The 8,845-nt window shown below is 45.2% G+C and overlaps 4 annotated features.

Moving 5' to 3' along the window:
- Window positions 5,190-5,824: an enhancer, noted in NCBI's record as "H3K27ac hESC enhancer chrY:908292-908926 (GRCh37/hg19 assembly coordinates)". NCBI's record gives its function as "activates a minimal SCP1, AML or CMV promoter by ChIP-STARR-seq in primed H9 embryonic stem cells {active_cell/tissue: H9 hESC(primed)}" and the evidence as "EXISTENCE:reporter gene assay evidence [ECO:0000049][PMID:30033119]".
- Window positions 5,190-5,899: a biological region, named in NCBI's record as "H3K27ac hESC enhancers GRCh37_chrX:958477-959001 and GRCh37_chrY:908292-908926".
- Window positions 5,375-5,899: an enhancer, noted in NCBI's record as "H3K27ac hESC enhancer chrX:958477-959001 (GRCh37/hg19 assembly coordinates)". NCBI's record gives its function as "activates a minimal SCP1, AML or CMV promoter by ChIP-STARR-seq in primed H9 embryonic stem cells {active_cell/tissue: H9 hESC(primed)}" and the evidence as "EXISTENCE:reporter gene assay evidence [ECO:0000049][PMID:30033119]".
- Window positions 5,900-6,423: an enhancer, noted in NCBI's record as "H3K27ac hESC enhancer chrX:959002-959525 (GRCh37/hg19 assembly coordinates)". NCBI's record gives its function as "activates a minimal SCP1, AML or CMV promoter by ChIP-STARR-seq in primed H9 embryonic stem cells {active_cell/tissue: H9 hESC(primed)}" and the evidence as "EXISTENCE:reporter gene assay evidence [ECO:0000049][PMID:30033119]".

Raw genomic sequence — 8,845 nt, forward strand, 5'->3', positions numbered from 1 at the left:
ACAGGTGTGAGCCACCGCGCCCGACCTACAGTTCTATTGTATATATTTCAGGGAGACAGGAATTGTAGGTAAAATCATAAATCATTACATGGAAGGTATACCTTGTTTCGGCCTTAAAGATGAAACATCTCAAAGTGGGTTCCTACGAGTCACAGGTAGGCTTTAGGGATTCTTTAGTTGGCAATTGGTTGTATAAAACATAAAAATGTAAGGCCGGGCATGGTGGCCCACGCCTGTAATCACAGCACTTTGGGAGGCTGAAGCGGGTGCATCATCTGAGGTCAAGAGTTTGAAACCAGCCTGGCCAATATGGTGAAACCCTGTCACTACTAAAAATACAAAAATTAGCTGGGCCTGTAATCCCAGCTACTTGGGAAGCTGAGGCAGGAGAAACACTTGAATCCAGGAGGCAGAGGTTGCAGTGAGCTGAGATTGTGCCACTGCACTCCAGCCTGGGTGACAGAGTGAGGAAAGAAAAGAAAGGAAGGAAGGGAAAGACAAAAAGAAAAGAAAGAGAAAGAAGGAAAGAAAGAAAAAGAAAGGAAGGAAGGAAGGAAAAATAAAAGGAAGAGAAACAAAGGAAAGAAAAAAGGGAAGAAAGGGAAGGGTAAGGAAGAGAAGGGAGAGGGGAAAGAAAGGAAGAAAGGAATGAAAGAAAGGGAAAGGGGATAGAAAGGAAGAAAGGAATGAAAGAAAGGGAAAGAGGGAAGGAAAGAAAGAAAGAGAAAGAAAGAGAAGGAAGGAAAGAGGAAGGAAAAGGAAGGAAGGAAGGAAATATTTTTGTAGACGCAGTGATATGGTTTTGCTGTGTCCCCACCCAAATCTCAAATTGCAGCTCCCAAAATTCCCACGTGTCATGGGACTTACCCAGTGGGAGGTAACTGAATCACAGGGCAGGTCTTTCCCTTGCTGTTCACACAATAGTGAAGACGTCTCATGAGATCAGATGGTTTTATAAAGGGGACTTTCCCCTTTTCTCTTGCTTGCCACCATGGAAGACATGACTTTGCTCCTCCTTTGCCTTCCGCCATGATTGCGAGGTCTCCTCAGCCATGTGGAACTGTGAGTCCGTTAAACCTCTTTCCTTTATCTTTTACCCAGTCTCGGGCTGGGCGCGGTGACTCATGCCTGTCATCCCAGCACTTTGAGAGGCCGAGGCAGGAGGATCACCTGAGGTCGGGAGTTCAAGACCAGCCTGCCCAACGTGGAGAAACCCTGTCTGTACTAAAAATACAAAACTAGCAGGGCGTGCTGGCACGTGCCTGTAATCCCAGCTACTCGGGAGGCTGAGGCAGGAGAATCGCTTGAACCCGGGAGGCGGAGGTTGCAGTGAGCCGAGATGGCACCATTGCACTCCAGCCTGGGTGACAAGAGCAAAACTCCATCTCAATCAATCAATCAATCAATCAATAACCCAGTCTCAGGTATGTCTTTATTAGCAGCCTGAGAACAGAGTTATATACACAGAGTCTTGCTATGTTGCCCAGTCTGGTCTCGAACTTCTGGGGTAAGTGATGCTCCCACCTCAACCTCTCAAAGTGGTGGGATTACAGGCGTGAGCCGCCGCGCCCGGCCTCCATGAGTCTGATTTTAACCCATGTCTTTTGTATTTCTCAGTCCTTGTCCACACATCTCATCACACACGTGCGCAGCAAACAGGCACACCCAGTGTGAACCCAGGCACAGCTCTCCGAGAGAACTCTAGTCAACACGTCGTCCGTGGGACATCGGCTGTATTTCTGTTCCTTTCCTTCTTTTCTGTCTCTTTCTCTTATTTCCCAAAACTCCGTTGTGTTTCTGATTTGTTCACATCGCTTTCGGCAAAAGGAAAACACAATGGTAAGTGGGGTTTATAAATCTATCTTCGTTATCAAGGGAAGATTGAAACGGCATGGAGACAAATGAAATTAACTGTGCACGGGACACACCGTCAACAAAACGCTAATAAGTGCAGAAAGACTGTTTAGCAGGAAACATGTCCAAAAAAAAAAAAGAAAAGAAAGGATCTTAATCATGGTTTAAGCTTATCTGATGGATTTCAACAGAGACACATCAAGTCTAATTGAATGTTTACGTGCACTTTTTATGGTTTCTGTATTCTGTGTAATGAAATAACATTACAAAAAAGCGTTGAGACGCAAGAAACTCTGGGATTCTTCTAAAGGGAGAGTTGGAGTTACTACATTCAACATGGACGGCTTCTCTTCTGTATTTCAACAGCGTTATCGTCTGCAAATTTGGAGATTCTCTGAAAGCTTCACGGCCATCCTGGGTCTCAAACTCTTTGAATATTCATACTGTAAACTATCTGACAACATGGGATTGGGTTTTGGCATTCTCTAGGTCTACTGAGAGAGGTTCTGGAATGCAATTTAACTTTAAATGCCTACCTACCTACCTGCCTATCATCTATCTATCTGTCTAACATCTATCTGTCTTTCAATCATCTATCCATTCGTCTCATCTATCTACCTACCTATCTATTCATCCATCTCATCTATCCATCCATCCATCCATTCATCCTGCCATCTATCCATCTATGTATCTATCTATCTAGTCATCCATCTCATCTGTCTTCCTATCCATGTATCATCTATCTACTTACCTATTAACTATCATCTATCAATCAAGCTATCTATATATCCATCATCTATCTACCTTATCTATTATCAATCTATCGTGTGTCCATCTATGTACTATCACCTGTCAATCTGTCATCTACCATCTGTTTATCTACCCATCTCATCATCTATCAACTACCCATCCATCTTTATCTATCTATCTATGTATCTATCTATCTATCTTTTTTTTTTTTTTTTTGAGACAGAGTGTCACTCTGTCGCCCAGGCTGGAGTGCAATGGCGCAATCTCGGCTCACTGCAAGCTCCGCCTCCCAGGTTCACGCCATTCTCCTGCCTCAGCCTCCCGAGTAGCTGGGACTACAGGCGCCCGCCACCATGCCCGGCTAATTTTTTGTATTTTTAGTAGAGATGGGGTTTCACCGTGGTCTCGATCTCCTGACCTCGTGATCCGCCCGCCTCGGCCTCCCAAAGTGCTGGGATTACAGGCGTGAGCCACCGTGCCTGGCCCTATCTATCTATCTATCTATCTATCTATCTATCTATCTATCTATCATCTATCCATCCATCACATCTCTTTATCTACCCATTCATCTTATTTATTTGTCTATTTATGTATAATCGGTCTATCCATTTCATCTATCTATCTATATACCAACCTATCATCTATCTATCCATTCATCTATGTATATCTATCTATCCATCTATGTGTCTATCTACGTATCTATTATCTATCTATCCACTATCACTAATCTATCATCTATATATCCACCTATATCATCTATCATCTCTCGAGTCATGTCATGTATCATCCATCTATGTATCTATGTATGTATGTATGTATGTATGTATGTATCTATCTATCTATCTATCTATCATGAACCCAAAATATCTGAGACAGGTGTCAATCAATTTAGCAGGTTTATTTTGCCAACGTTAAAGACACACCCATGAGACGGCCTCAGGAGGTCCTGACGACAGGTGTTCAAGGTGGTTGGGTCACAGCTTGGTTTTATACATTTTAGAGAGACATGAGACATCAATCAATGTGTGATACTGTAAGTTGTGCATTGGTTTGGTCCGGAAAGGTGAGACAGCTCAAAGTGAGGAGGGGGCTTATAGGTGATAGGTAGGAATTTCCTTGTGGACAGATTGTGAGGGACATATGTGATCTTTGTATCTCTGTAGCGATCTTATTTACGAATAAAATAGGAGGCAGGTTTGCCTGATGCCGTTTCCATATTGACTTTTTCCTTTGGCTTAGTGATTTGGGAGTCCTAAGATTTATTTTTCTTCCTATCAATCTATCTATCTATCCATCCATCCATCTATTCATCCTTCCATCTATCCGTTTATGTATGTATGTATGTATCTATCTATCTATCTATCTATCTATCTATCTATCTGTCTGTCCATCCATCCATCTATTCATGTATGTATGTATGTATGTATGTATCTATCCACCCATCCATCCAGCTATTCATGTATGTATGTATGTATCCATCCATCCATCCATCCATTCATCTATGTATGTATGTATGTATGTATGTATGTATCTATCTATCTATCTATCTGTCGATTTATCCATCCATCCATCCATCCATCCATCTATCCATGTGTGTATGTATGTATGTATCTATCTATCCATCCATCCATCTATCCATCTAAGTATGTATGTATGCGTCTGTCCATCCATCCATCCATCTATTCATGTACGTATATATATATCTATCCATCCATCCATCCATCCATCCGTCCATCCATCTATCCGTCTATGTATGTATGTATGCATCTATCTATCCATCCATCTGTCCATCTATGTATGAATGTATGTATGTGTCTGTCTATCCATCCATCCATCCATCCATCTATTCATGGATGTATGTATCTATCCATCCATCCATCCATTTATGCATCTATGTATGTATGTATGTATGTATCCATCCATCCATCCATCTATCCATGTATGTATGTATCCATCCATCTATCCATCTATGTATGTATGTATGTATCTGTCTGTCTATCTATCCATCCATCCATCTATCCATGTATGTATGTGTGTATGTATGTATCTATCCATCTATGTATGTATGTATGTGTCTGTCTATCCATCCATCCATCCATCAACTCATGTATGTATGTATCTATCCATCCATCCATCTATTCATCTATGTATGTATGTATGTATCTATCTATCTATCCATCAATCCATCCATCCATCCATCTATCCATGTATTTGTGTATCTATCCTTCCATCCATCTATGTATGTATGTATATATTTATCTATCCATCATCTACCATCTATTTATCTATCTCATCTTTCTGTTTATCGTGTATCTATCAGTCATCTATCCACCCATCTCCTGCCCCCTCCCCCTGTGTATCTACTTGTGTACTTACCTATCTATGGCAACCAGAGAGCTTTTACCCCCAGGAGATATTTTGCAATATCTGGTGGCAATTTTGGTTGTCACAACTGGGGAGGGGGTGGTCCTGGCACCTGGTGGGTGAAGCCCAGGGTCTCTGCTCAACACCATACAGTGCCCAGGACAGCCCCACCGCGGAGAATCCTCCATCCCCAAATGTCAGCAGAGCCTGGGCAGAGAGACCTTGAAATAGACAAGCATTAATTTCTCTCAGCTATAGATTTGATAACTTAACAAAATGTCTGTTCCTTGCCACCTCCTCTGATTTTTCGCTTTTACAGTTCCCCCAAATGGAACGCCATAACTAACCACAACCACAAATACACTCAGAGCTAAAGCCACATGGCCCCCTATTGGAGGAAAAGCAGGACCCAAGAAACAATTCCTGGCGTCCAACTGACCTTTGCAGGTTTCGCTAGAACATTCAGAAGTCACTGTGGCTGTCCCCAGGGGCCCAGAGTCATTGTGAGAAGCTCAGAGAAGCAGGGGACCCCGCGGACAGCAGCTGGGCACGGGGTCCTTTGTGCAAAAGTCTTTCAAATTCAAATCTCCCTCCCTCCCCTGGGCTGTAAAATCCCTTCTCCCGCCAGTAACACAGCTCTCCCTGGATTTACAGCTGCAATGTTTACCACCAGCCTGCTGAGCTCACAGCTTAGAGCCAGGCTTACCCTTTCAGAGCGAATTTTCACTGAGGCCAGTCTACTTTCCAAGCAGCGACTCTGAGAATGTCTTCTAAGCTGTGGCATAACTGTCCAAGTGGTTCTTCCTGCCTGCTGAATAAAGACTCACAGCATTGCCGTAGACAAAGAATTTAAGAGACACAAGGCCGGCCATGCCATGTGGCAGGCGGAGTACCTACTCAAGGCTCAGAGATAGGGGTTTTTCAAAGGCAGTGTTGTTACCAGAAAGGGGTCTTGCTCCAGACCCCAAGAGAGGGTTCCTGGTCCTTGCACAAGAAACAATTCAGGGCGAGGCCATAGAGTAAAGTGAGAGCAAGTTTATGAAGAAAGTAGAGGGGCCAGGCGCGGTGATTCGAGCCTGTAATCCCAGCACTTTGGGAGGCTGACGCAGGTGGATCACCTTAGGTCAGGAGTTCGAGACCAGTCTGCCCAACATGGTGAAACCCCGTCTCTACTAAAAATACAAAAATTAGCTGGTCATGGTGGGCACCTGTCATCCCAGCTACTCGGGAGGCTGAGGCAGGAGAATCGCTTGGATCAGAAAGGCGGAGGTTGCAGTGAGCAGAGACCTTGTCACTGTGCTCCAGCCTGGGTGACAGAGCTGTGACCTGTGCCATAACTGTCCAAGCGATTCTTCCTGCCTGCTCAGGAAGCTCAGGAAGGGTACTCAGGAAGCAAATGAAAGACGGCTTTGGCCAGGCACGGTGGCTCATGCCTGTAATCCCAGCACTTTGGGAGGCTGAGGCAGGTGGATCACTTGAAGTCAACAGTTCGAGACCAGCCTGGCCAACATGGCGAAACCCTGTCTCTACTAAAAATACAAAAATTAGCCAGGCGTGGTGGCAGGTGCCTGTAATCCCAGCACTTTGGGACGCTGAGGCGGGTGGATAACCTGAGGTCAGGAGTTCAAGACCAGCCTGGCCAACATTGCAAAACCCTGTCTCTGCTAAAAATACAAAAAATTAGCTGGGCCTGGTGGCAGGCACCTATAATCCCAGCACTTTGGGAGGCCAAGGTGGGTGGATCACCTGAGATCTGGAGTTCAAAACCTGCCTGGCCAACATGGTGAAACCCCATCTCTACTAAAAATACAAAAAATTAGCTGGGCATGGTGGCGGGCGCCTATAATCCCAGCACTTTGGGAGGCCAAGGTGGGTGGATCACCTGAGGTCAAGAGTTCGAAACCAGCCTGGCCAAGAAGGCAAAACCACATCTCTACTAAAAATACAAAATTTAGCCAGGCGTGGTGGCAGGTGCCTGTAATCCCAGCACTTTGGGAGGCTGAGGCGGGTGGATCACCTGAGGTCAGGAGTTCGAGACCAGCCTGGCCAACATGGTGAAACCCTGTCTCTGCTAAAAATACAAATATCAGCCGAGAGTAGTGGTGGGCGTCTGTAGTCACAGCTACTTGGGAGGCTGAGACAGGAGAATCCCTTGAATCCGGGAGGCAGAGGTTGCAGTGAGCGGAGATGATGCCATTGCACTCCGGTCTGGGCCACAGAGCGAGACTGTCAAAACAAAACGGAACAAAAAGAATGCTTTAAGAAGCGGGCGGATCACAAGATCCAGAGATTGAGAATAGCCTGGCTAACACAGTGAAACTCCGTCACTACTAAAAATACAAAAAAATTAGCCGGGCGTGGTGGCAGGTGCATGTAGTCTCAGCTCCTCAGGAGGCTGAGGCAGGAGAATGGTGTGAACCCAGGAGGCGGAGCTTGCAGTGAGCCGAGATCCCGCCACTGCACTCCAGCCTGGGCGACAGAGCGAGACCCTGTCTCAAAAAAAAAAAAAAAAAAAAAAAATAGAGAAGCCTGTGGTCCTGTGGGATTTATAGATTTCATTTTGTAAATATATCAGTATTTCCCAAATTAAAATACAGCCTTAATCCCTGCAGAAACTTTTTTTTTTTCAGATCTGGGAATCAGTACACAGATTTCCAAATGTTTCTGTAGAAACATTAGCCTGGCTAACAAGGTGAAACCCCATCTCTACTAACAATACAAAATATTGGTTGGGCGTGGTGGCGGGTGCTTGTAATCCCAGCTACTCAGGAGGCTGAGGCAAGAGAATTGGTTGAACCCAGGAGGCGGAGGTTGCATTGAGCTGAGATCACGCCACTGCACTCCAGCCTGGGCAACAGAGCGAGACTCCATCTGAAGAAATAAAGTAAAATAGCCGGGCGCGGTGGCTCACGCCGGTCATCCCAGCACTTTGGGAGGCCGAGGCAGGCGGATCACGAGGTCAGGAGATCGAGACCTTCCTGGCTAACACGGTGAAACCCGGTCTCTACCAAAAATACAAAAAATTAGCCGGGCAGGGTGGCTGGCGTGCACCTGTCATCCCAGCTACTCAGGAGGCTGAGGCAGGAGAATCGCTTGAACCCGGGAGGCGGAGGTTGCAGTGAGCCGAGATCGCATCACTGCACTCCAGCCTGGGGGACAAGTGAGATTCCATCTCAGAAAAAAAAAAATAATAATAATAATAATAATAATAATAATAATAATAATAAGTAACACAATGAGAGTTTATAACGTGACAGAGGTGGTTTTCGAATTCATTCCATTAAAAAAAAATCCAAGATTTCTGTGTGTCACAAAATATTTACGAAATTAAAGGGAAGTTCAGAGACCACGTGGAAAATACATTCTAAACCAAAGCATCATTACTACACAAGGAGGTGTTTCAAATCAAACGTGAAGTTTCCCCCAATGAAAAAGTCAAACGGCACAAGATAAACGGTCGGAATCAACAGAACACGTTCGACTTCAGTAAAGATTACAGAAATACTTTCTTTAAAACAAGGAGACCTCACTTGAATTTTCTACATTGCATGCTTTTCTGCCCTCCAGAGCTGAAAACTCAGAAGCTTTGAAAATGCCCATTCTCTTGGCTGGGCGCGGTGGTTCACGCCTGTAGTCCCAGCACTTTGGGAGGCCGAGGCGGGTGGATCACCTGAGGTCAGGAGTTCGAGACCAGCCAGGCCAATATGGTGAAACCCGTTCTCTACTAACAATACAAAAATTAGCTGGGTGTGGTGGCGGGCGCCTGTAGTCCCAGCTACTCAGGAGGCTGAGGCAGGAGAATCTCTTAGAACCCGGGAGGTGGAGGTTGCGGTGAGCCGAGATCGCACCACTGCACTCCAGCCTGGGCGACAGAGCA

This window comes from Homo sapiens, chromosome X (assembly GCF_000001405.40).
Source record: "Homo sapiens chromosome X, GRCh38.p14 Primary Assembly".
NCBI classification, from domain to species: domain Eukaryota; kingdom Metazoa; phylum Chordata; class Mammalia; order Primates; family Hominidae; genus Homo; species Homo sapiens.